Genomic DNA, 26,042 nt, shown 5'->3' with positions numbered 1-26,042 from the left:
GGTAGTCGAGGAGGGGCCGGATAAATTAAACGTGTCCCCGGGTCGTGGGTGAGGATGGGCTCAGCCTCCCTGGGAGGATGCTGGGGAGGTGAGGCGGCTGTCTGTGCTGCTGGCAGGAGCGAAAACCCCATCATATAGAGGGGGCTGCTGTTTGGGGCAGAGATGGCTATGTGCGGCATTCCAGACACAGCCCATGGAGGGGCTGTGCTCCTGCGCTGGATCGGGGGAGCCACATCCTATAGTCCCAGGCCACTGCGTCTTGGAAGGGCCTGGCCAGCAGCAGGCATGGGCCGAAGAACCCCACATCCCACTCCCCCTCCACCAAAAAGGGGGGCCAGAGCCGCGACTAGCAGAGTTGGTCTTTTTTCAGTTTTGTTCAAATCTCAAATATTCCTTAAATCCTCTGTGCCCAGAACAAGCTGAGAGCAATCAAGAACTTTAAAACCCAGTATTCAAGGCTCTACCCTCAGAAAATAAATAATGGGAGAGAGAGAGAGAGAGAACACAGATAAAGCAATATGAGACAGATGATAGATGGCAGATAGACAGATACTGATCAAAATTCTTACGCACTTTTCACCTCCCAGAGCAATTACCCTCTTTACCATACTGGTAAAGAATCATCAGTGCCCTAAACAACCAACCAATTGTCTCCTGGTTTCAGGACCAAGGACAGAAAACAAAGTTGCACAAGGACCCTCTCTGGTTTCGGTCTCTGTTTTTCTTGTTGTTGTTGTTTGAGACGGAGTCTCACTCTTTCGCCCAGGCTGGAGTGCAGTGGCGCGATCTCAGCTCACTACAACTCCGCCTCCCAGGTTCAAGCAATTCTCATGCCTCAGCCTCCTGAGTAGCTGGGACTACAGGCACATGCCACCACATCCGGCTAATTTTTTGTATTTTTAGAAGAGATGGGGTATATAAGGAAGGTTCTGTAGACTCCCAAGCCTGTGTGTGTGTAGACAGGGAAGGCAATGTAGACTCCCAAACCTGTGCCTTTACACAGCAAAATTGGTGTAGACCCCCAAGTCTATGAGGAAATGTGGTATAGACTCCCAAGCCTGTGTGTGTTTAGACAGGGAGGGTGGTGTAGACTCCTAAGCCTATGTGTGTACATGGGGAAGTTGTGTACACTGGGTTAGGAGCTGGAGCCCTCCAAATGCATGTGTTAGAGCCCCCCCGATGCAATGTGTTAGGAGCTGGGATCCCCCAAATGCAGGAAGGGTGGTGTAGACTCCCAAGCCTGTGTATAGACAGGAAGGGTGTTATAGACTCCCAAGTCTGCATATTTAGACAGGGAAGGTGGCGTAGACTCCCAGGCCTGTCTGCGTGTAGACAGGAAGGGTGATATAGACTCCTAAGCCTGTGCGTATTTAGACAGGGAAGGTGGTGTAGACTCCTAAGCCTCTGTGTGTAGACAAGGAGGGTGGTATAAATTCCCAAGCCTGTGCATGTGTAGACAGGGAAGGCGATGTAGACCCCCAAGCCTGTGTCTGTACACAGTTAAGGTGGTGTAGACAGGAAAGGTGGTGTAGACTCCCAAGCCTGTGTGTGTGTGTAGACAAGGAGGGTGGTCTAGACTCCCAAGCCTGTGTGTGTATAAGGGGAGGCTGGTGTAGACTCCTAAGCCTGTGCATATACACAGGGAAGGTCGTGTAGACTCCCAAGCCTACAGGTGTAGACAGGGAGTGTGGTATAGACTCCCAAGCCTTTGTGTGCTTAGGGAGTGTGGTGTAGACTCCCAAGCCTGTGTATATGCATGGGGAATGTGGTGTAGACTCCAAAGCCTATTCATGTATAGGGGAAGGTAGTGTAGACTCCCAAGCCTGTATGTGTGTAGACAGGAAGGGTGGTATAGACTCCCAAGCCTGTGTGTGTACATGGGGAAGGTGGTGTAGACTCCCAAGCATGTGTGTGTACGCAGGAAGGTAGTGTAGACTCCCAAGTCTGTGGAAATATACAGGGAAGGTAGCCTAGGCTCCCAAACCTGCAGGTGTAGACAGGAAGGGTGGTGTAGACTCTCAAGCCTGTGTGTGTACATGGGAAAGATGATGTAGATTCCCAAGCCTGTTTGTGTAGACAGGGAGGCTGGTGCAGACTCCTAAGCCTGAGTGTGTAGACACGGAGGATAGTGTCCACTCTCTAGGGTTTCTCTGGGGTGTCAGGAGCCCTTGGATGCACATGTCAAGTGCACAAAACGTGTGGTCTTTACTGGTTGTTGTCAGTGTATGTAGACACTTTTTTGATTATGAAAGTATCGGGCCATGCACGGTGTCTCACACCTGTAATCCCAGAACTTTGGGAGGCTGAGGTGGGCAGATTGCTTGAGGTCAGGAGTTTGAGACCAGCCTGGCCAACATGGTGAAACCCCATCTCTACCAATAATAGAAAAATTAGCAGGGCATGGTGGTGGGTGCCTGTAATCCTAGCTCAGGAGGCTGAGGCAGAAAAATCGCTTGAACCAGAGAGGAAGAGATTGTAGTGAGCTGAGATTGCATCAGTGCACTCCAGCCTACACTCCAGCCCGCACTCCAGCCTAGGCTACAGAGTAAGACCTAGTCTCTAGAGAAAAATTATTTTTTAAAAAACAGTATGTATTGCCAGAATGTATGGTCACCTTTCTCACTGATCTTCTCAGGCTGACTTAGGAGCTGGGGCCCCCCAAATGCATGTACTGGAGCCCCACCCCAATGGGGTGTGGTTAGGAGGCGGTGGCGGGGGCTCAAATGCATGCATTAGAGACCCACCTTGATGCAATGGGTTAGGAGGCAGGGCCCCCCAAATGCATGCATTAGAACCCTACCCCTGATGTGATGGGTTAGGAGCTGGGGCCCCCCAAATGCATGTGTTAGAGCCCCACCCTGATGCAATGGGTTAGGAGCTGGGGCCCCCCAAATGCATGTGTTAGAGCTCTACCCCCGATGTAATGGGTTAGGAGGCAGGGCCCCCCAAATGCATGCATTAGAACCCCACCCCTGATGTGATGGGTTAGGAGCTGGGGCCCCCAAATGCATGTGTTAGAGCCCCACTCCAGATGCAATGGGTTAGGAGCTGGGGCCCCCCAAATGCATGTGTTAGAGCCCCACCCTGATGCAATGGGTTAGGAGCTGGGGCCCCCCAAATGCATGTGTTAGAGCTCTACCCCCGATGTAATGGGTTAGGAGGCAGGGCCCCCCAAATGCATGCATTAGAACCCCACCCCTGATGTGATGGGTTAGGAGCTGGGGCCCCCAAATGCATGTGTTAGAGCCCCACTCCAGATGCAATGGGTTAGGAGCTGGGGCCCCCCAAATGCATGTGTTAGAGCCCCACCCTGATGCAATGGGTTAGGAGCTGGGGCCCCCCAAATGCATGTGTTAGAGCTCTACCCCCAATGTAATGGATTAGGAGGCAGGGCCCCCCAAATGCATGCATTAGAACCCCACCCCTGATGTGATGGGTTAGGAGCTGGGGCCCCCAAATGCATGTGTTAGAGCCCCACTCCAGATGCAATGGGTTAGGAGCTGGGGCCCCCCAAATGCATGTGTTAGAGCCCCACTCCAGATGCAATGGGTTAGGCAGGGCCCCCCAAGTGCATGCATGAGAACCCCACCCCTGATGGGATGGGTTAGGAGCTGGGGCCCCCAAATGCATGTGTTAGAGCCCCACCCTGATGGGATGGGTTAGGAGGCGGGGCCTTCCAGAGGTGATTAGGGTTGGGTGAGGTCACGAGAGTGGCTCTGAGGCAAGACCATGAGACAGCATCATGAGGGAGCCGGCTGCCCTCCTCCTTCCCACCATGGGAGGACACAGCAAGGCAGTGACCATCCGCAGTGGGAATAGGGCCCTCACCAGAGCCCAGCTGTGCCAGCACCCTGATCTTGGACCTCCAGTCTCAGAGCTGTGCAAAGCGAGTGTCGGTTGTTGCAGCTGCCCTGCCCTGGTGTTCTGCCACAGCAGCTGGTGCGGATGCCTCCCTCCTTCTCCAAGGGCCCCGTGCTCACGGTCGCTGCTGGTGGACAGGCCTCCTTGCTGCTGTGTCCTGTCACAAATGCCAGTTCTGGAAATGTGCTGTGTGGGTCACTCATGGATGGGATGAGGGCCAGATGTCCGTGGAGGGGTGAAGGAAAGCGTGAAGGGAAGCGCGACGGCCGCCTGATGGAGTTAAAAAAGCTTCACGACATCTCCCCAGTGTTGGATTTCAGCAGCAGGATTTAAAAACTGAAAAGGGCACTTAAAGACGAGGTAATTACACTTAGTAGGAAGTCAGGTCCCAGCCCATTAACGACGCCTATGAGAGAAATAGATTAGACATTGAAAAGAAAACAAAGCCACCTCAAGTAAAGGGGAAGTAAAATGAATAAACGAAGAGGCTGAAAGAATTCCCAGAGATGCAAAAGTCAAACCACCTGGGAGGCGTCTGGGAGCCTTTGGCTGAGTCCCGGGGAGCCTCGGGCAGGCCTGTGTTCTCAGTCATTGCAGTTAGACTCCGTGGGTGGCCACGCCAGCCATGAGTGGGCCTGTGGGCCTGCAAGCCCCTCTCCCTGCCCAGACCTCAGCCCTGTCTTAGGGGAGGCACCTGAACTGGGTGTTAAAGCACTCAGGCCTAGTGCCCTGGGGCCGAGTGCATGGCTTCCAAAAGTGACCAGTGGGGGATGTGGGAGCGTCCTGCTGCCCTCCATCTTGGATTCCCAAGTTTGTTCTTTCCCAGTGGCAGCCTCAGGAGATGTCCTGAGGGGCAGGCTGGTGGGGAGCCGGGCAGCATCCGTGACCCTTCCTGCGAGCGCCCCAGGCTTCCTATCGGGACGTGGGCTCAGCCGGCGGGCAGTGGCACCCGCTGGGGCTCCGAGGAGCTCGAGGAGTCAATCTCCACCCCGACGCCTGGTGCGCAGCCCTCAGAGCACAGGCTATCTCCGTCTTTCATTTTCAGAACGAGGCTGGGGGGCTCTGAGGATGTGTGCTCTCGTGTGAAAGCCCCATGAGGTCCTTCCTGACGCCGACCTCTCCCAGCCCCGAGTTCCAGGGGAGGACGGCGAGGCGCGGCACAGACCCCAGGACGAGGGCAAGGGGGAGGGCTCCCAGGCCTGCTTCCCTTTCGTGCTGGGTCTAGTGAGGTCACGTCATGCACACATAATCAACCCAAGTCATTTCTAAACTCTGGAAGTTCTTAATTGGGCTCTTGGGAGGAAGAAAGAGGAAGAGGAAAACTTGGAGGCCAGTTGCCAGCCCTCTGGGGACACGCAGTCCCATCTCACAGGAGGAGTGAATCGGTGTTCTCACGGGGTTTTCCGAAGCCATCTGTATTTCAGAGCTTTGTGATGGAGCGAAGTTCTTCACTCCCACTCCTGGGCTGATCTCCTCTGGGAGGCGGAGCTTCCAGCGTTTGGAGCGAGCCCTGGCTGCAGGCCCACAGCTGCTTCCTCCACCCTAGCGAGCGCTCAGGCGAAGCCCAGCCTCCGCAGGACTTTGCTTTTGCAAAGGAGAAGACAAAGCCAGCAGAACCTCCGTAGCTTACGGGAATTTTACCTATTCACGGCTGCCCCTTTGCCCTTCGCGGATCCAATGGACTCAGTGAGGCGCCATCCCTGGGGTTCAGGGGTTGGGTCTGAGTCTCGCTGCAACAACTGGGGGACCGGTGTCTGCCAGAATCCGCCCGGTGAACACAAAGCTCGCCAGAGGAGGCAGGGCACGGCGTCCACGTGGGGTGACCAGCTCCCCGTGGAGACCCTGTCCCCTGCCGAGTGGATGGTGGGGAGAAGCCACCACCGTCTGATTCACTTCGGGAGCTTTTATGTCAACTTCAGTTTCAAAAATAAGATTCTTTCATTAAAAAAAGCCTGAATCATTTATGCAGACAATGCTGATCACACACTCCCTTCTCTCCCAACATTCCAGCCCCATTCTTTCCCGCTTGTGCTCGCCTTGGATGACAAGAACCTGTGGAAAACCAGCTTCTCAGTCCTGCTCCCTCGGCCCCCCTGGGGTGGCACTGCTGTCTGCATCTCCTCTTTGGAGGGAGCTCAAGGCCAACTCAAGCGGGGGCCGGGCGTTGGCCGTGCCTGGGCTGGGGTGGTCTTGCCAAGGAGGAGATGGGTGGCAGGTCCCGGAAGGTCTTTCCTGGGAAAGGCTGTTGGCACGGACTGCGGTTCCTCTCCTTTGTGGAGTTGTGCCCACTCAACACATCATCCTGTAGAGCCCCCTCCTGCGCTGGCTTTGGTGGTCAGGGCGGCTCCTGCCTCCCCTCTAGAGGCCGCCTGGGTTCACGCTGGTCCCACACTGGGCTTAGAGTCATGCTGGGGGAGTGTGAAGTCACACGGAGAACCCGTGTTGTTCTTGGAGCATCCAGTGTATCTGATGAAAAGGAAGAAAACACCTTTATCATAAAAGGCACACAGGCATATGTTACAAAGAAGAGTGCAAAATTTACACTCATTTTTAAGAAAGAGAAAGTCATGAAGAAATGTGCTTGCAGCCAGAGGCTTTGGTGTAGGAAGAGCCCCCTGGTCATCGCTGAGGGGTCACCAAGAGCGGGCGGAGCTCGGTGGAGTGGCAGGTAGGAACGGGAGCATGGCAGAGCCCATGTGCACCCTTGTGGGTGGTGCTCTCTGGGGAAGATGCTGGAAGGCACTCAGTTTGACCAATGCCTTGAAAGAGAAAAGGAACACCAGTGACCTCGGTGGCAGTGCATGGACTGCATCTGCTAACATTTCCTGGTAACCAAAGACAATCGGGGCCGGCTGCTCTTGGATCAGGGCCGTTCAGAGCAGTGAGGTTTGCACACACTCCTCTTCACAGCGTCTGATCCACTAGGCACAGATGACCTTACATTGTGACAGGATCCTGATCTCCTCCAGTGCTGGTCCTGCTCCTCATCCACATGAGGAGAGCATGGACAATGCAGAGTGGATGTCGCCTGCTCCTGCTGGCCGCTTTGAGTCTGAGCCGAGGGTGCTGCATCTTGTGTGCAGATTCCTGGGAAACCTGCTGGATGTCTGGCCTGGAGGCAGGGATGGCACAGCCCCGGGATCCAGGTCCTCGGCCACCCCTGTGGGTCGGAGTGGGTGACCCCCATGGGCAAGGTCGTGCCTGGGAGTCACAGCTTCCCTGGGGGAGGTGGCTTTTGATTAATCTTCACAGTTTTTGCTGCAAACTGATACTCGGGCCAGCCCATGTCCTTGAGAAGCGTTGCCTTGATATTGGGACAGAGTAGTGCTCTTGAGTGCAGTGTTTCAGCCTCAAAGGCCAGGTGGACAGGGGGTACGGTGGGGGGCTGATGAGGCATTCCTGGACCCTGCATGGAAAGTCCCTTGTTTCTAGCATGAATCAGCCTCTGCTGGACCCACTGGAAGACCCAGGAGTGCCTCCCAGGGCTCCAGTCTCCACCAGCAGGGTCCCTGCCTCTTCCGTCCTCCAACAGGCCCCTTTCCCTTGAAGCCAGAGCTGGTGTTTTATTTAAAAATAGACGCAAAGAGCCCTGACCTCTGCGACAGCATGGGTGCGCCTTGAGAACATTATATGGAATGGAATAAGCCAGACACGGAAGGACAAGCACTGTGAGATCCTACTTATAGCAGCCCCTAGTGTTGTCAGAGTCAGCGACAGAAAGTAGGATTGGTGTTGCCGGGGGCTGGGGAGTCAACGTAGGATTGGGGGTGCCAGGGGCTGGGGAGTCAGCATAGGATTGGGGGTGCCAGGGGCTGGGGAGTCAGCATTTACAGGGAATGAAGTTCAATTTTGCAAAATGAAAGGAGTTTGAGAGACAGATGGCAGTGGTGGTTGTATAGTAGTGAATGTAATGAATGCCACAGAATTGTATATTAAAACTGATAAGATAGTAAATTTTATTTATGTTATGTGCATCTTACCACAGTTAAAAAAAAGTTTAGTTAAAAAAAACAAAGCCCCCAAAATCAATACAAAGAGAAGGCCACTTTGCCTGCACAGAACCCCTGACATCGGTGGTGTGGGGTGAGTGAGTCCGGGGGCCTTGCCTGGCAGGAGGGCCTGGGTCTGAGCTTCTTTCTGTGCCGCTCTGCCGTGAGCTCTGAGCTCTGCATGGGCTGGCTGTGGCCTCACCTGGGGCCCTGAAGATGGCTGGGCTGTCCCCCAGCCCTGCCCCAGGTGCCCAGGCTGCCCAGCATGCGTGAGATGAAGGCAGCCCCAGCGTTAACCATAAGCTGAGCCCCTCTGGAGTGCCCATGCCCTGTGTGTGCATCTGCATGTTGGTGCATACGTGAGACGTGCTCAACTCACAAGAACTTGGCAGGCGCTGGCCGTGGGGTGACCGGGCCTCCCAGGCTGGTGGCTGGGGTCTTCACCAAGGCAAGCATGGCCAGCTCTGCCTAAGACCCTCAGAGCACCTCTGTAGTCACCCACCTGCTACTCGGGAGAGGTGGCGTCTGTCCCGTGGCCTCCCACGTCAAGGTGTGGCCTGGGAGGGCAACAGGCGATGGGCTTCCCAGGGTGCTTCCTGGCTGCTGGTAGGGATTATCAGGAGGCCCCTTCTTCATGGCCCTATAGTCACTTAGACATCATGGCGCCTGGGACACTGGGGCTTGCCTCCGCCATGAGCCCCTTAACCCGGCGGCTGTGATTCCAGCACCATTCCGGGCTGTGGTGCCCAAAGGACTCTGAGAGCTCAGTCCGTCCTCCCCTGGGAGGGATTCCCTTTGACAGTGCAAAGCTGGCACCTCGCGGACCCCGTCTCCGGGCAGGCGTGAAGCTCAAGCTGCTGGAAGCGCTCTGTACATCCAGTGGAAGGAGCCGTCTCTGTCCCTGTCACCAGGAGTGTGATGCTGATACCGAGGCTCCCTGATGGTTCCTCTCAGGGAGGAGACAGGCCGTGTCCAGCCCCTTCCCCCTTCCTGTCCTCATGCTCACACCCAGTCCTGCTTTTCTGCATGACCCTTCACCTGGCTCACGTGTTTGTGGGCCGTTGGCCCAGTTTTTTTGGTCTCCAGCCCTTGCTGGAGGTAAATTACCTCCTGGAATTTTGAAAGTCCTGTAATTAAGATTTGAATTTTTCTTTCTTTCTTTCTTTTTTTTGAGACACCCAGGCTGGAATGCAGTGGCGTAATTTCGGCTCACTGCAACCTCTGTCTCCCAGGTTCAAGCGATCCTCTTGCTTCAGCCTCCTGAGTAGCTGGGACTACAGGCGCGTGCCACCGCACCCAGCTAATTTTTGTATTTTGAGTAGAGACAGGGTTTTGCCGTGTTGGCCAGACCGGTCTTGAACTCCTGACCTCAGGTGATCCGCCCACCTCAGTCTCCCAAAATGCTGGGATTACAGGTGTGAGCCACTGGGCCTGGCAAGATTTGAAATTTTGAAGGAAACAGGGACAGGATTGCTGGGGGTGACAGCAACTCCAGAGCCTCAGAGAATGTGCTGGTCACTTGCTCTGTGATTTCACCAAGACAAGACTAGTGGCCCTCAGCTCCTCATCAGCCACACGGAGCGGGGTGTGAACAGCCCCACCAACGATATTCCAGAATAGCGCAAACCCTGAGGCCCGCAGACGGCTGCTCAGGGTGGAAAAGTGACCCACATCCATCCTGGAAGGGTGCAGAAAAGGAAAGGAAATGTAGGGACAGTTCTACTTGAGAATACGAGAAAATGGTAACAGGAATAAGAAACAGGTATTTGCAGCTGCTGAGGAACGCATGTGGCCTCCCACTGCGTCGGTCTGCAGCACAGGACTGGTCCCTGCATGTGTGACGTTCTCATTTGGAGGGAGCTTCTTACAGCTTAGTGGTGAGAGACACAGGCAAACTGAAAGAATCTGTTATTTGTGCTTTTCTCAGATGAAGACTGGGTGGATAGAGGCTCTGAGGTTTTATATCTTCTAGTTCCTTTTAGCAAAAAAGAAAAAATCAGTGAAAGCCAGCTAAGTCCAGAAAAACCCGGTGGATGTTGAGGCTGGAAGTGAGAGCCAGCTCCCAGGTGTGTCCGAGCAGGTGCCTTCCTCGCCGTGGGTGGGGCTGGGCTGGAGTCAGGAAGGACCTGGAGCTTCCAGAGGGGGCCTGGGAGGATGCAGATCACCTTCCCATTTCTGGGCAGGAGCTCCAGATGCCCCTCTGCTCCACGTGGGGCTTTCCACAAGAAGAAAGAGTGGGTGTGATCACGTGAGTGTGAGCACCAGTGTGGGCAGGTGTAAGTGTTAGCAGAAAACTGCAAGGGAAGAAGGTGGCAGCGGCTTTGAACCCCAGGACAACAGGTGCCCCAGACAGTGCTTCTGTGTTCACTCTAGAGCAGGGGCACCCAATCTTTTGGTATCCCCGGGTTACACTGGAATAAGAATTATCTTGGACCACACGTAAAATACACTCACACAGTGATAGCTTATGAGCTTTAAAAAATTGCAAAAAAATCTCATAATTTTTTTTTTTTTTGAGACAGAGTTTGGTTCTTGTTGCCCAGGCTGGAGTACAATGGTGCGATCTTGGCTCACTGCAACCTCCACGTCCCAGGTTCAAGTGATTCTCCTGCTTCAGCATCCCAAGTAGCTGTGATTACAGGCATGTGCCACCACACCAGGCTAATTTTTTTGTATTTTTATTAGAGACAGGGTTTCACTATGTTGGCCAGGCTGGTCTCAAACTCCTGACCTCAAGTGATCCATCCGCCTTGGCCTCCCAAAGTGCTGGGATTACAGGCATGAGCCACCGCACCCGGCCAAAAAATCTCATAATGTTTTAAGAAAGTTTATGAATTTGTGTTGGGCCACATTCAGAGCCATCTCGTGGGCCGTGGCCTGTGGGCTGGATACGCTTGCTTTAGAGTCAACGTTGCCGTTCCTGTTTTTGGGTTCATTGGCCCAGTCACACCGGGTAATGATAGTCTGTTTTGGGGAGAGGCAGATCATGCGGGCAGAGTGTGGACTGGGTTCTGGCCCCTCCCAGGCGGGTGTACATATCCCCCTCCACCGGGTGCACTCCTGAGCGTGGGGCACTCACCGCCTCCTCTGCTTCCTTGCACAACTCTGGTGCCGTGCAGAGGGGCAGAGCCCAGAGGAGCTTTCCCGGCCAGTTGGGGCTGCCCTGGTTTTTGGACCCTTTGGAGGGAGGAATGCCCAGTGGCTCAGTCCACCCACAGTGCGGAGCTGCTTCTTGAGGGTTGCCTTGTGGGCAGGGGCAGCCTGGTGCAGAGGCAGCTTAGCCGGGAGGCTGACCCCTTTCCTTGTCCTGGGCTCCGAGACCCAGACAAGATCCGGTCTCAGTAGATTTTTGTGAGGAAAGAGATTGACTCAACTGTGTGTGTATTTTGACAAACTAATTTTAGAGGGTAGATGAAATGTCTGATGAAACCTTGACATGGAATTAGCCAATTTTAAGAACATCCACTTACTACATGTTCAACGAGGCCTCACACATAAATTTAACGTGGTTTTGGAAAATGCAGCACTTAACATAAGATCACATTTTTATCTGTATGTCCCAAAGTGCAAATATAATTTCAAATGTTCTGCCATCTTGGTAACAGTTTTTTTACATTATGCAGTTACCCTCAATGCTGTTTTTGAATTACATGCCAGAGTGTTTTTAGTTACCACAAGAAGGAAAACAAAGTGCAAAACTGAATTGAGCTACGTGTGTGGCAGACAGGCCTCCTAGAAGGCTCTGCAAAATCCATCCAAGGACTAGAGGGGCACAGCCCTGCTGGGAACAGCCGGCGGGGCGGCCGTTGTGGGTGGCTGAGCTGATGGCGGCTTCCCTCCGGGCCTTCCTTCTTCCCACCCACCTTCAGAGCCTCGGGGTGGGGAGGGTTGGAGGCAGGTGTGTCTGGCGTATTGAACCCACTAAGGTGAGCTCCGTGCTCGGGGGTGCTGTCTGCAGCCACATCCTCATTTCTTTGGGCCTCAGTTTTGTTGTTTGAAAAGCGAATGGACTGAACAAGAGCAGCCTTTTTAAAGCAGAAGACCTTTTCTTCAAATGAAATCTGATAAAGGCATTCATTAAGAAAACTGTGGCTAGACTATTTTGAAAATAAGAGTTTCTAACCTTTCCTTATTCTGACCCAACCCGGCGCATGACATTCCCTGTCTTTGGGGTGCGGTGAGGACGTGGGAGCTGAGAGCTGGGGCTTTGTGGTCTCTGCGGCTCCCCCATCTCCTGATGCCCTTTGGAGCTCAGAAGTCCAGGCATTTTGATGTCCAGTAATGGGCTGGCTGTTCCGTAGACAGTGGGCTTTGGAATTCCACAGCATTGCCCTGACAGATGGGAAAGGAATCCTCCTCTGCAAACAGAACCCAGGGACATGGACTTGCTGTTGACCCACATCAATGTCGTAGAAAACTTCCCTTGTGAGTATTTGACAAACTCAGAAACAATTTAATATTAGAAGGAGAGGAAAAAATTGCTTGCAGAGTTTTTGACAGAGAGGGAGCTCACTTGCTTGGGTTGAGCGTTGCTCCGCTGGGAGAGGGATGGACGCTGCTGCAGCCTCTTCAGCTACATTTAAAAATGGCGCTGGGCACATCCCTTCTGCGCTTTGGTTCCTTCTTTCCCATAACTGATGCACTGAAGAATTTTGCATAGCTTTCTTATGTCCCAGTAAGAGTAGGAAATCAATTTAAAAAGGCCAGGCACCGTGGCTCACGCCCGTAATCCCATCACTTTGGGAGGCCGAGGTGGGCGGATTGCCTGAGGTTAGAAGTTCGAGACCAGCCTGGCCAACATGGTGAAACCCCAACTCTACTAAAAATACAAAAAAATTAGCTGGGCATGGTGGCGTGCGCCTGTAATCCCATGTACTCAGGAGGCTGAGGCAGGGGAATTGCTTGAACCTGGGAGGCGGAAGTTGCAGTGAGCCGAGATTGCACCACTGCACTCCAGGCTGGGTGACAGAGCAAGACTCCATCTCAAACAAAAAACACAAAACAACAACAACAAAAAAAGAAGGGGCTGGTTTGAATTAATGAAAAATCTAGAAAACTCATGGTTTTATTTTGTTAAAGACTGTAACTCAAGCCAGATAGTCACATTGTCTCTTCTTCCTTAGGGATCTTATTTGACAAATATATAGAAATGTTAGTAATTAGCATATCAATTGGCAGTCTGTTAATTCATGGTTGTAATAAAGCCTTGCTGTTTTCTGAAGTGAGCTAGGCCAGTTTACTTCATGAACAGACTTAACAAGCCTCATGCTAGCCAGTTCTGAGCTCCCTGAATTGGAAGCAGGTGTGATGCGCATGCGTGGTGCTCTGCAGTCTCTCAGCTTCCCCAGCGGCCTTGGCCCCTTCTCCTCTGATACTTCCCCTTTTATGCGTCCGCAGCCCTTTTGGGTTCTGAGCTGCGGCAAGCTTTAAGCAAGTGTTTTAATTTTCTTTAGTTCACTTAGCTAAGTCTTCAACAGATTAACTAACGTTCGTACCTTGGTAGAATTATAGCCAGATTTTGCAAAGAGCTTGTGAAATGACAGCCAGATGGCTGTGGAATCTGAATATTCACTGCTGAGAACCGAAGCCAGCTTTCCTACTATGAAGATGTTCTGTGTGAGCCACACCTTGCCCAGGGTGGAAGTGATGTTTGTTTCAGGTCCACAGACGAGGGAGAGGACGGAGCCAGTGGACCCTCGGTGGCAGTGTCTGGTGCAGATGTGGGCAGGTAACCGGGTGGAATAATGCTTGCTTTGCTGGCATTTTGGCCTTAATTTTAGAAAACAACAAGTTAGGTTTGTAGGGCTCAGGACAGGTCAAAACTCAGTGCACTAAATGCCACCACAGCCCAGAGTTCTGAGTGACAGTTCCAAGCACGTGCTGATGATCAAAGCCCTAGAGAAACCAAAGAATTTGAATGTCCCTTTGAAATTTACAGCAAAAAATTTACCCTATGTCTTCAAGACAAACATGAGAAGCACCGATTTATGAGGTGCCAGGCACACTAGTGTTTATGAATACTTAGATGATTTGTGGCAAATAGAAAGGCCATAGGCTTCAGAATAGACCTGGATTCAAATCCCAGCATTGCCAATTAGCACCTGTGCAGCCCTGAGCAGCTCACTTAACCTCTCCGAGCCTCAGCTGCCCGTCTGCAAAAAAGTGGATTCCTATCCTGCAGGTGGTAGTAGGGATTAAAGAAGGTAACTTGTGGGCAGCACCTGTGTGCTTGGCGCTCGGTAAATACTGGACACGTGGCACACGTTGTTACCAGCCACTGGGGCACATTGGCCTTGGTGACCTAATGGAGAAAGCCAAACCGAAGTGCTAACCCCACAGGTCGATGGAGGCCCCGAGAACTTGTTGGTTCTTCCACACTGAAGGAAAAGCTCATGGAATTTTAAGGGCAGAAGAGACCTTGGCGGTGGGAGGTGTTAGAGCTTCCTCCATGCAGACACACACGGTGGGCCCTGGGGCGACCCCACCCCTGCCCGAAGCCCCAGGGTCCCTTGTGGTCTCGTCTGGATGTGGGGTGGTGACGCTCTGCTGTCCCTTTGGAGGGTACGCGTGTTGGGGGCATGGGTGGGAGCAGAGCCACCTCCAAAGAAACCCCCCCTTGGCCATGTGCTTTCCTCCCATGGAGCACAGGTGGGGGGCCCAGCCTGGGCTCCTCATTGCCCCCCGAGACCCAGCACGTCACCTCCACATTTATAGACTCTCTAGCTGGGCCCAGCCATGGAGCCCCAGAGGCTGGGGGCTGAGCTTGTGCAGCCCCAGGAACCTTAGCTCTCCAGGGCTCCTCTGGCCCGAGGGAGGGGCTGACAGCCCTTTTTGTTAAGGGCATTGACAGTGACTTCTGGGCAGGAGACCCTAATACGCTTGGAGTAAAAAGGGAGGGTGATGCCTTGGTGGGCCCGAGGCTCCTGGGAGCCCCCGGCTGCAGAGACAAGAACCATGAGGAAATGCAGAGTGAGGCCCTTGGCTAGCCAGGGCATGGGACCCGGTCCCTGCCTGTGTGTGACTGCAAAGGCCACTCAGGCACCCGCTGCAGCAGCCACGTGGGGACACTGACCAGACCACACAGCACCAGCCTGTCCCAGCCAGTCCCAGCTCCAGGCTCACCGTATGTCCCCAGCCGTCACCAGCTCCAGGCTCACAGTATGTCCCCAGCTGTCATCAGCTCCAGGTTCACAGTGCACCGTCCGGTTCCAGCCGTCACCAGGTCCAGGCTCACAGTATGTCCCCAGCTGTCACCAGCTGCAGGCTCACAGTGCAATGTCTGGTTCCAGCCGTCACCAGCTCCAGGCTCACAGTATGTCTCCAGCAGCCACCAGCTCCAGGCTCACAGTATGTCCCCAGCCGTCACCAGCTCCAGGCTCACAGTGCACCGTCCGGTTCCAGCTGTCATCAGCTCCAGGCTCACAGTATGTCCCCAGCCGTCACCAACTCCAGGCTCACAGTGTGTCCCTCAGGACCCGGGACTCGGCGCTAGACCCCCAGAGTGAGCATGCTCCAGCGTAAGGCTCCAGGCCTTTCCCTCTCGGAAGGGCCACCCTTTAGAAGTGCCTGCTCTCATCTGTCCTGGAGGTTATGGCTGAACCCACACCAGGACCGTCACTCATTCGAGCTCCCTGGGTTTGCTCCAAGGCTGTGCTGTTGAGACCACATCCAGGACAGGAGTCCGGTGCTGGGCCAGGGTCAGATGTTCTGATTTGCAGGGAGGAGCCACTTGCATGCATTTCTCTGTGGAAACAAAAGGCTTGTTTTTGAAGGCAGCAACCCTAAGGATGTTTAAAAGGCAAGTGGACAGTTTTGGGGGTAAACCTATTTAATGAAATGCACACAGCCAATATTGCTGTCACTTGTGTCTTCAGGTGCCTAGAGGGTGAATGTGATATATAGCAACTCAATATCTTAGTGCATTTAAATATACATTTTAAAAGATTCTCTGACTCATTGGAATTCATAGTTCCATTTTTAGATGAAATTGAAGACATAGTTCAGGGAAAATGGGACAGTTACTTGTTTGTTACCAGTGTGGTCGTTGCAGGCTGTGCTGGCTGACACGGGGGGCATGGCTTTTCCCTGAAACACCTTGGAATCTGCAGTTGTCGTTCCCTCCAGAGCGCTGAGGGGTGAAGGGAAACCCCTCCATTTTGGATTTGGAGAGCTGAGCCCTGGGGGGTTCGTGCTGCCTCACTTCCAGCAGGTCCTGGGACTGGGCTGGGAGTCAGACCACCCCCTGCCCACCTGTGAGTTTGGGTGGGTCGTGTCTTCGTTCCCTCATCTGTGAAGTGGGAATAAAAAGCTGAGCTCCGGGGCCTGTTGTTGGGGTTACGAGGCTGCGAGAATCACTGGAGTCAGGGCCCTGCACGAGGCAGGTGTTCACGGACCTGAGTTCCTCTTCCCGCCCCGTGGTGCCGCCTGCTTTTGGGATGAGGTAGTGGCTGGGGTGTCCGTAGTGCAGTGCATGGGAAAGGGCTCAAGGCAGTGGAGGATGGGAGGCCACTGTCAGGTGAGCGCCCACCTATTCTCAGTGCCTAGGGCGCTGGGATGCGTCTCTGCAGGTCCCATGGGTGGGCTGGGGCACTTGAGACGCCATGTGTGACGGCTGGGAGAGGCACACACGCATTATAGAAGCCACAGAAATCACGACCCACGGAGGCTGCGCTTTTTCCTTGGAAACTTGCAGCCATAGCCTTGGTGGTAACAGGGACAGAAGCAGCAAGTAGACACACGCTGGAGGTCGCCTGCGAGTGGATTCCCAGAGGGACACGCCGCGCAGGGGTGAGGGGCAGTGCTGGGAGGAGAACCACTGGGGTTAGTGTTTGTGAGGGAGCGCAGCGTGCGCCAGTCACCGGACGAGCAGGTCTCGAAACACTTTCCGAGATGCGGTGCACAGACCTGGCTGTGGGCTACGTCGAGTATGAAAAGTGTCCCCACATTTTCCAGAAACAAAGCCACTTACAGGGGGCCCCTAAAAAGGGGCACTGATTCTAAAGGTGCACGAGCTGTGCTCTTTTCCGCCAGCGTCCGGAAGAGAGCTCCACAGGGGGACCCTCTGTCCCTGTGGTGGTCTACTCCTTCCGTGCTTGGAAAGCCAGATTTTGCTTCCAAATCTAGAAGAAATGAGTAATGAAAAAAAGTAATGTTTTCTCTCACCAGCTCTAAAGTGATGGCTTTTCAGCATTTTAAAATGCAGTTCTGCTACTAGAATTTGAAACAACAAATTACATTTATGAGGTCAAGGTGAAGCTAGCAAATATTACAGGGAAAGGAACATTCATAAATAAAGATGAAGTCATTTATCAGAGACCTAAATAAGAAATAGGCTGAAAGCGCTGGTGAGATAAACTGGTAATGTAAGGGTCATTTAGCCTAATGTTCACATTTATATGCAAGGAATCGAGTTTGCAGCACAGTCCAGGCTCGTTGCTGGGCTGGCAGATGAGGCCGGGTGCTCTGCGGGGTGCCCACCCTCCACGTCCTGCTCTGTGTCCCACAGGTCTGTGGGTCCTTTGACCTCTGTCCTGACTCACCTGCCTCTGGCCCCTGGTCTGCTGGTCTTCTCTGGCTGAGTGGAAGGGAGCGCAGCTTCAGAGCACCTTTTCCCTGTTCTGAGGCAGGAGAATGGCAGAGGGAGCTGGAGCTTGGATAGAGACGGCATGTGGACTGCACTTCCTCCCTGGCGACAGCCCCCGCTGGCCTGTCCTTGGGCTGCAGCTCACTGTTTCCTGACAGTTGACTCTCATGCATGACTCTGCTTCCTCGTTTGGGCCTTGGGTGCTAACGACGACATTACTGCTGAACTAGAGAGCCTCTTCCTGTGGTTCCTTATGCCTGACCCTTGCCCTTGTAAGCCATCCCTCTCCAGTTATCCTAATTTGGCTATGCTATTCATCATAGTCCGCTCAGGATGCTATAACAAATATGCTGCAGCCTCGGGCTTAAACAATGGATGTTTATTTTTCACATTTCTGGAGGCTGGAAGTGTGGGGTCAAGGTGCCAGCAGACTTGGTGTCTGGGAGCGCCTGCTTCTGGTTTGCAGAGGCCTGTCTTCTCACTGGGACCTCACAGGGGCGAGCAGAGGGTGGGCTCCTGAGTCTCTTCCTATAAGGGCACTAATCCCATCCTGAGGCTCCACCCTGATGGCCCAGTCATGTCCCAGAGGGCCCTCCTAACACCATCACGTAGGAGTTTTGGGAGGACTCACACATTCAGTCCGGGGCACAGTCTGTCTCCACCCGTGTCCTACTGACAGATGTTTGCTCAGTTGTTTTCCTGAGTCCCGTCTTATTGATGGTGGGCTGGGAAGGCCCTTGTGTCTTCCTGAGTCTTGTCTCAGTGATGGCAGGCTGGGAAGGTCATTGTGTCTTCCTGAGTCTCGTCTTGTCGATGGTGGACTGGGAAGGCCCTTGTGTCTTCCTGAGTCTCATCTCGTCAATGGTGGGCTGGGAAGGCCCTTGTGTCTTCCTGAGTCTTGTTTTGTCAATGGTGGGCTGGGAAGGCCCTTGTGTCTTCCTGAGTCACATCCTGGTGATGGCTGCCTGGGAAGGCCCTTGTGTTTTCCTGAGTCCCGTCTCGGTGATGGTGGGCTGGGAGGGTCCTTGTGTCTTCCTGAGTCCCGTCTTGTTGATGGTGGGCTGGGAAGGCCCTTGTGTCTTCCTGAGTCTCATCTTGTCAATGGCGGGCTGGAAAGGCCCTTGTGGGGTCTTCCTGAGTCCCATCTGGGTTATAGTGGGCTGGGAAGGCCCTTGTGTCTTCATGTGTGCCTGGTGCACAATAGACAAGGCAGGGCAGCACTTACTTAACTTCTTATTGTTTATTTTCTTGAAAACATCATCAAGTTTATGAAACCAGGCAAAGTTTCAAATCTAAGACAATCACTTTCATTAGGCAAGCCTCTGTCTAGCCCTGTCTGGACCCAGAGGAGGAGGTGATGATTTTCAGCAAAATTTAAAGGGCATTTCAGACCTTCTTTATTTTAGTTTTCATGTTTTATATTTTTGAATTTTAATTGATGGGCTTAATGAGATTTGGGGCATTGCATCGCCAACATCCACAACAAAACTAAATGGAAGGTATGGGCTGGAGTTGTGGTTGCTTTGTGTGGTTGTTTTGAGTGTTTTGTGTGGTTATGTGTGGGGTTCTGGTTAGTAAGGTCCCAACCTTTTGGATGTGAACTGAAATTTTATTTTTCTTCATCTTATCTAGTATGGAACCAGACTTTTAGATTACTCATTTTTGAAGTACTTTTGCAGATTTTAAAAATAAACTGGATGGAAAACTTAGACATTTTATAGAAAATGAAAGAAAAAATCCCAAATATAATCAAGTATAGCCGCTATATTAAGATTTACTGTGTTTCCTTCCAGTCTTTTTTTTTAAACACTTTATGTAAAAACAATCATGGTTGAGGACATATACACACTCTGTATTCTGCTTTGTGTTGTGTACACAGTTGACCAACTAACTGAAAAAACTTTATTGCCTAATTTCTAATGGTTGCCTATTAATTGTTTTTGTATGATTTCAATAGCCACCTGAATGCTACAAGAAGTCCTCAGTGCCATGGTCTGACCCCAGAGAAAGCCCCAGCCGCTCCCCAGGTGCTCTAACAGGCAGTTGACAAATAGTCCAGCCGCAGAAAGCAGGATTCTGACACAGTTCTGTATCAGGAGAACGAAAACAGCACAGATTAAATGCAGGTACCCTCCCATTGCAGGTTCTTACCATGACCCAGTGAGGTGGGCATTTTAAATCCCCAATTTACAGAAAGGAAAAACAAGGCTCAGCTCATGTAAGAAACTTACCCGAATTCACGCAGCTGAATGGGGAGGGAGTGAGCATTGACATTAGGTGTGGTTGGCTCAAAGCCCACAACTTCCCTTGGTACTGAGTAGTTAAGAGTATCTGAGATCAAAGCTGCTGTTTTCTTCGACCAGATTGTGGAAGGAACAAGATATGCCTTTGCTACAGGGTAACTCAGAACTTCAACACTTCCTTAGATTACATGAGTAACAGCCACAGAAAAGAATACCCCATGGAATCTGAGAATCTGACATTCCCAGGCTGGGAGATCATTTGGGAGGCAATGCAGGAGGAACAGAGGCTTTGGAGGTGGCTGGTCTCTAAAGATGTTGTGTGAAGTGCTCCTTTCTGCGAGGGCATACTGAGGTGTAGTTCTGGGGAACACTGAAACGCCTGCCTGCTGACGAGGCTCGAGGCAGGACTTCCAGACCCCCACCTCACTGTCTCCCGCTGCGTTTCCCACCCCGCCCTCCCTGGCTGTGCAGGCTGCCCAACGTGCAGGCGTCGTCTCTGCTGATCTAGCAGGATGTTATCTGTCGATGAGCTGCCTGGAGCCAAGAAACATATGGAGAATGTCTCGTCTTCAGAGGGTCTGCACAGCCGAGGTGAAACATGCCCGGGCAGATGGCCACTGTGTGACGTGGTAGGCTAGCTTTGGCCTGGGTGATGGGGGGAGCTTCGCAGAGATGTGTCTTCAGGAGGGACTGTGGTGGACAAGCTGAGTGGCAGCTCCATTGCAAGATGGATGGAGGCTCTTGGGGTACGGCAATGAGGGCAGCAGTTGGGGCAGAGTCGCAGTTCAGACATCCAGCCAGGCCTGATCCCACTGCGTTTGGGAAATGAAGAGCAGCACACAGCTGTCCCTGATGAAGCCTGTGGCATGGGTGGTCACAACCTGCACCCACAGCCATCCCTGACAGAGCCCAGGGCATGGGTGGTCACAACCTGCACCCACAGCCATCCCTGACGGAGCCCAGGGCGTGGGTGGCCACAACCTGCACCCACAGCCATCCCTGACGGAGCCCGGGGCGTGGGTGGTCACAACCTGCACCCACAGCCATCCCTGACGGAGCCCGGGGCGTGGGTGGTCACAACCTGCACCCACAGCCATCCCTGATGGAGCCCGGGGGGTGGGTGGTCACAACCTGCACCCACAGCCATCCCTGACGGAGCCCGGGGTGTGGGTGGTCACAACCTGCACCCACAGCCATCCCTGACGGAGCCCAGGGCGTGGGTGGTCACAACCTGCACCCACAGCCATCCCTGATGGAGCCCGGGGCATGGGTGGCCACAACCTGCACCCACAGCCATCCCTGATGGAGCCCGGGGGGTGGGTGGTCACAACCTGCACTGGCCAGTGGAGGCCCAGGGAGGGTAGCCCCTGCATCTTCAGGCAAGGCATCCCCAGCAAAGGCAGTGGTGGCTGGGGAGAGAGCAGCTGTGACGGCGGCACGGAGGGCCTGACGTGCGACTTTGGGATGTACCCGGAGTGGGAGCTGTGTTTTCATGGTGTTCATTCTGCATCCACATCTTCAGAGGAAATCCCCGAGGCATTGTGAGCATGTCCATCAGGGCACCCTGGAAAGCTTGGTAAATGCTGTGTGGTGGCGAAAGGATGTCCGTTATAGGTGAGAGCTTCATCGATTGATGGAAGATTGACGGCTCGGTGCCTCAGGCTAGAGCTTCTGTGGTGTCCACCTGGTGCAATGCAGAGGGCTGGGGTCAGGACGGTCTCTGCGGGACGTCCCCTCTGGCCCCTGGGATAGGGACTCCTCGTGTGTTGCAGGGAGACCCATCACGCAGGACAGGGTCCTGGCGGTGCCTCCGGGAGTGGACATAGGTCTGTCTGGCTCCTGATGGCTTCCTAGCACTCCACGTTGGGCCACTCAGTGGAAGGCAAAGGTGCGATCTCCTTGGATGGTTTGTGTCTGGGATTTGCAGCCAGATGCGGAGGGTCCTAGAAATCTCCATTTCTGAGCTTCTTGCTCAACAAGTGAGTTTGGCAAAGTTTTGTTGGGACTTAAAGTTTGCACAGATTCCATCTGTGAGAGGCTCACTTTGGTGAGTGCAGATCTTGGGCGCTGCCCTGTGAGCGAGGGTGCACTGAGGAAGATGATGTTGCTGTAATTAGGACAAATGCACTCAGCCCAGTATCTCCAGGGATTTGAGAATCAGTTCATTCTGCAAGTAACAAAACTAGGGAAGGAAGTGGTTTTCAAGCTCCCGTGGTTGTTGGAGGTGAGCTAATTCTTTGCGAGTTATTAATTGCTGGTCTCTTGGAATGGCTTGGGAGCACAAAGTGACAGGAACCCAAGTCATTTCTGTTCTGTTTGCTTGTGTTTGTTTTGCTTTAAGTTAATCCTTTGGTGGTTCTGGGGATGAGGCCTTGTCCCTGGCTTGGTAGAGAGAGGCCAGTCAGGAGGGAGCAGGTGTGGTGGAGCCTGGCCGTCCCTGAGCCATCAAGATGGTCTGCGCGTCAGAGTGCAGCACGGGCCACATTCTCTCTGCCATGTGCAGAGGGCTCCTGCACGGAAGCCTGCACGCATTTAACACCAGCACGCTCAATGTAGTCTTGTAAGGAACAGGTTGAAGTGTGCCGTGGTGTGTCTGGAGGAAGCGCCTGTTGCTGGTTTTTGTTGTTTTGTTATGTATTTTTTGCCATGTTCCATGCTGTTCCTCTAATCACATCATGTCCCGGGTTTTTGAAGTTTAGTGACGTTTTTGGTCTTTTCTTACTTTTTACCCATGTTTTTTCCTCTTTGTAGGATCAAAGTCACATACAATAGCAACTTTATTATAACGCACGGTCCACCACGCTCCAACTTCCAGTGTGGAGGCATCGGTGGGGGTTTGCTGAAAGTCTGAGCAAATCTCATGGCTGTCTCTGCTGTCTCCGTGATGACTCTGTGGGGCACGTGACTGGAATGCTCTGATGCCTGTTTGACATCTGGGGCTTCTCAGAAGCCACAGGAGCCACGCTGGGGGCTGACAGTTTCCTCTCCCAATGTCGCTTTTGGGCATCTAAGAGCCTGGTCATAGAGACGTGACGTGGCTTGAGAATGGACAGAGGCCAAGAGCAGATAACAAAGCAAGGTCGTGCCCGACGAGCTGAGGATCTTTTTACACTGGGGGCATGGGCACCACCCAGGTGCTGGGCCAACCCTGAAGCGGTCTGCACCTCCCTCCGGCACCCCCTTCTTTAGGGAGCCTCTGTTAATGCAGGATTAAAGTCTGTGGATGGACACGCCCCTTTCTGACTTTGTTGTTTATTCAGTTTTCACTGTGGCAAAAACCTATTCTAAGAATAAAATAAGCCGGTTTATCTGACCCTTCAGAGGGAAGGACCCACGTTGCTTTGGGTTTTTTGCCTTCCGTGTCCTTGTCAGTGGAAACCCCAAATGCCTGGGCTTCTCGGCGCACCTAAGTGTTTAGGCACGTGTGAGTGCAGTGATGCGTTCAGCTTCCAGGTGCCTAGTAGGTTGGAGCCAGCGTGGCTGGGAGGAGGCATGTGTTTGTGTAAAATATGCTCCTGTTCACCACGTTCTTTCTATGAGCAGAGGGCAGGTGGTGGGTGAGGGCGTCGAGCCTGGTGTTTGGAGGTTGTTTTATGTGATACAGATTTCTTAACCTTTTTCTCTAAAGGTGATGGTCCAGTGGTGCATTGGTTTTGTTCTTTCCTGCACTTGCTTCAGCCTCCTCCTCTCAGCTGGGGTGTTTGCATCTGCTGCCTTCCAGGAGGCTGCGCGTGAGATGTGGGCATCTGTCCACCACAGCAAACACCCGTCTGCCTCGTGAGGAGGCCTCATGGTGCCTTCCCCACAGGTGGGATGAGCTGAGCCTGGAGGGGGCTTTGCCACAGCCCTGGGTCGTTCTCTCAGGGAACACCTGCTGTTTCTGTGCCACCCCTGGGCTCGCAGGCCTGGATCTGGATGGGGTTGGGGCCTTCCTGTGGCCCCCTTCCCCATCAGTTCATGGAGGGTGGCAGCCGCGGGCTTGAGCTCGACTCTGGAGAGGGAGATGTGAACTGACAGCCTTGGCTTCCCTTCCCTGGAGCGTTTCTTGGATGGCAGCATGGGACGTGGGTAATGGGGCGTGGCTGGGAAGCCGTTACCTGAGCGCTGTAGGGTGATGTGTCTGTAAATTTGCTGTGTCAGGCATGGTTTGGGGCAGCTGTTGGCCGGGCTGTAACCTAGGACATTAAATTCAGTTCCCTCATCGCAGCTTAGGGATCCTCTCGCTTTGAACACAGTCTGTTGTGGTTTGTTTTTGTTTGTGTGCACATGCTCACCCACGCCCATGCACATGTTCACACACACACCCCCATGCACATGCTCATATACATACATGTGGCCACACACATCCGCATACAGATACATCCGTACACATGCTTACACACACACACGTGTATGTTTTGAGGGCACTTGATCACTAGCTCCCCCCAGCCTGCCATTCCCCTGCTCTGCTGAGTGAACGTCCTTCCTGGAACCTGCATGGGACCCACATGGCCCGACACCTCTTGCCTCGCCCCTCAGGAGCAGGAAGGAGTGGGTTCTGCTGTGAAACAGATCTTGGGAGTGTGCATGTTTCTTTTCCTTTGCCACCAGCTCTTTGTGGTCTGGGTCTTTGCAACCCCAGCACTCACTCTGTTTCATATGTTAGTGTAAACCTGCACACATACACCTCACATGGGCACACATATATGCACACATGGGTGCTCACAGGCACACGCTCTCACACGTGTGCTGTAGCTGGTTCCATCGTGGGCTTTCTCTTCACCTTGCCCACATGGAACCCCCCCCGCCTTGCTCTATGTGTTTAAGTCGTGGGGTACCAGAGCTCCCTGTCCCAGTGCATGAAACCTGCTCCAGGGAGCAGAGCTGAGTCTGTGGCACACGGGGAGGCCGGCGTGGGATGTCCAGGTCCCCAGCATTCCCAGGAGCTCCTGCAGAGCCTCCGCAAATTGCCACCTTCCCTCATTCAGTCCAATTATGCTTGTTCTGTTTTCCTCATGTACCAGCATCAGTATTGAAGAGAAACAAAAAATAATTTTGGATTCAATTTCATTGCTTCACTTAATTATTACTGTAAAGACCTTGCTTTCCATTGCTTTTTATTGCAAGCATGTGGCATTTAAATTGTATTTTGGATCGACAGGCTTTGATGGACTAGCCAGGGAACCAAATCACTAATTCCATGTTCTAAATATCTGACGTAATTCTACTTATTTTTGGGGTCAGCCTGTCCTAGGAATGGATCTCACTTCTTTTGCATTCTCTCTGTTTTCCCTCTTGGTTGTGACAGAAACTTGGAGCTAGGCCTTAAGTTAGGGGTGTGCATGTGGCATGCGTGTGGTGTGTATGGCATGTGTGGCGTGCATGCTTGTGTGTGGTATGTGAGATACATGTGTGCATGTGTGTGGTAGCGTGCATATGTGTGCTGTGTGTGGCACGTGTGTGGTGTGCATATGTGTGGTGTGTGGCATGTGTGATGTACACGTGTGTGTGGTGTTTGTCCATGTGTGTAGAGGAGATGCTGAGAACTCATGCTGGCTGGGGAGGCCTGGGGAGACTGTGAGCTGGTCCTGCTCCCGCCTGGCCCCTTCTGGTGACCGCCCCTCCCCACAGCCCCTGGGGCTGGTGGACACAGCCCAGGTGTGGTGAGTGTGTGCTGTGTCCGCAGAGGGAAGCTGCTGTCATTCCCACACTGCATCTTCGCTGCTGATTGGAGCCCAGACTCACACAGTTGCCACTCTCCCCACATTTGACTCATTTTGGTCAAAAATGCACAAAATATCTAATACAGAGCACTCTGTGGTTCCAGAGGCAGCGATGTGAGTTTGCAGCTGTGTGTGAGCTGTCACCATGGCTCGTCGTTGCTGGCCGTGGTCAGCAGCACCTTCCCTGTCCTTGGGGGTGTCCTGGTGAGTCCGTCCTCCTGCTGGCCTCCCCTGGGCCTTCCCACCTTCCTCTGCCGACACAGCCAATGCTTGCTCTGGGGCGTGTCAGCACCTGCACAGCAGAGATGCCACGCATTCCAAAGCAAAATGGAGATGATTTTAAAATGTGAAAATATTCAGAAGTAAATATGCACGCAGCTGCTCCTCCCATCAGCGTTAGCCCCAGGACCAACAGCGACGGGTGCTTAGTGCCCACCAGGTGCTGTGTGAGTGCTGCGGGCATTCTAATGTCCTGTGTCCCAGGCATCATTGTTATTATTGTCTGTCTGCCTGTCTGAGAAGGGGATTGAGGCATTTGGGTGACTTTTCTCAGGCTGCAGAGCTGAGATTTGCCCCTGGCTGTGTGATCCCAAAGCCCCTTGGTGGGCTCGAAGGCCAGGCTGACTTTCGTGAGCACACGTTTCCCTCACAGGGCTGGCCCCCT

The 26,042-nt window shown here is 53.2% G+C and overlaps 1 protein-coding gene and 1 non-coding gene across 14 annotated transcripts in view, besides 5 other annotated features; both read left to right on the top strand.

Annotated features, from left to right (window-relative positions):
- The window catches only part of PTPRN2 (protein tyrosine phosphatase receptor type N2), a 1,048,768-nt gene that overhangs the window by 32,820 nt on the left and 989,906 nt on the right, over positions 1-26,042 (top strand). Inside the window, exon 1 of one of the 13 annotated variants that reach the window (NM_001308268.2) lies at positions 13,228-13,578. The exons of the other annotated variants lie outside the window; for them this stretch is intronic. Within the exon in view, the coding sequence (NP_001295197.1) occupies positions 13,398-13,578 (181 nt within the window). The 5' untranslated portion in view covers positions 13,228-13,397. Of the gene's footprint in view, positions 1-13,227; positions 13,579-26,042 lie in introns of those variants that run through there. 13 annotated transcript variants of the gene reach the window in all.
- Positions 560-760: a silencer, noted in NCBI's record as "peak6883 fragment used in MPRA reporter construct". NCBI's record gives its function as "represses an SCP1 promoter by STARR-seq MPRAs in K562 erythroleukemia cells {active_cell/tissue: K562}" and the evidence as "EXISTENCE:reporter gene assay evidence [ECO:0000049][PMID:32103011]".
- Positions 4,146-4,954: an enhancer, noted in NCBI's record as "H3K27ac-H3K4me1 hESC enhancer chr7:158342742-158343550 (GRCh37/hg19 assembly coordinates)". NCBI's record gives its function as "activates a minimal SCP1, AML or CMV promoter by ChIP-STARR-seq in naive H9 embryonic stem cells {active_cell/tissue: H9 hESC(naive)}" and the evidence as "EXISTENCE:reporter gene assay evidence [ECO:0000049][PMID:30033119]".
- Positions 15,937-16,921: an enhancer, noted in NCBI's record as "H3K4me1 hESC enhancer chr7:158330775-158331759 (GRCh37/hg19 assembly coordinates)". NCBI's record gives its function as "activates a minimal SCP1, AML or CMV promoter by ChIP-STARR-seq in primed H9 embryonic stem cells {active_cell/tissue: H9 hESC(primed)}" and the evidence as "EXISTENCE:reporter gene assay evidence [ECO:0000049][PMID:30033119]".
- On the top strand, positions 22,191-22,286 carry MIR595 (microRNA 595). Its single transcript, NR_030325.1, has one exon. It is a non-coding gene; the product is annotated as a microRNA 595 (primary transcript).
- Positions 23,205-23,973: an enhancer, noted in NCBI's record as "H3K27ac-H3K4me1 hESC enhancer chr7:158323723-158324491 (GRCh37/hg19 assembly coordinates)". NCBI's record gives its function as "activates a minimal SCP1, AML or CMV promoter by ChIP-STARR-seq in naive H9 embryonic stem cells {active_cell/tissue: H9 hESC(naive)}" and the evidence as "EXISTENCE:reporter gene assay evidence [ECO:0000049][PMID:30033119]".
- Positions 23,974-24,743: an enhancer, noted in NCBI's record as "H3K27ac-H3K4me1 hESC enhancer chr7:158322953-158323722 (GRCh37/hg19 assembly coordinates)". NCBI's record gives its function as "activates a minimal SCP1, AML or CMV promoter by ChIP-STARR-seq in naive H9 embryonic stem cells {active_cell/tissue: H9 hESC(naive)}" and the evidence as "EXISTENCE:reporter gene assay evidence [ECO:0000049][PMID:30033119]".

This window comes from Homo sapiens, chromosome 7 (genome assembly GCF_000001405.40).
Source record: "Homo sapiens chromosome 7, GRCh38.p14 Primary Assembly".
NCBI lineage: Eukaryota > Metazoa > Chordata > Mammalia > Primates > Hominidae > Homo > Homo sapiens.
The sequence above is the reverse complement of the archived record's forward strand: the minus strand, read 5'-3'. Positions and strand labels throughout refer to the sequence as shown.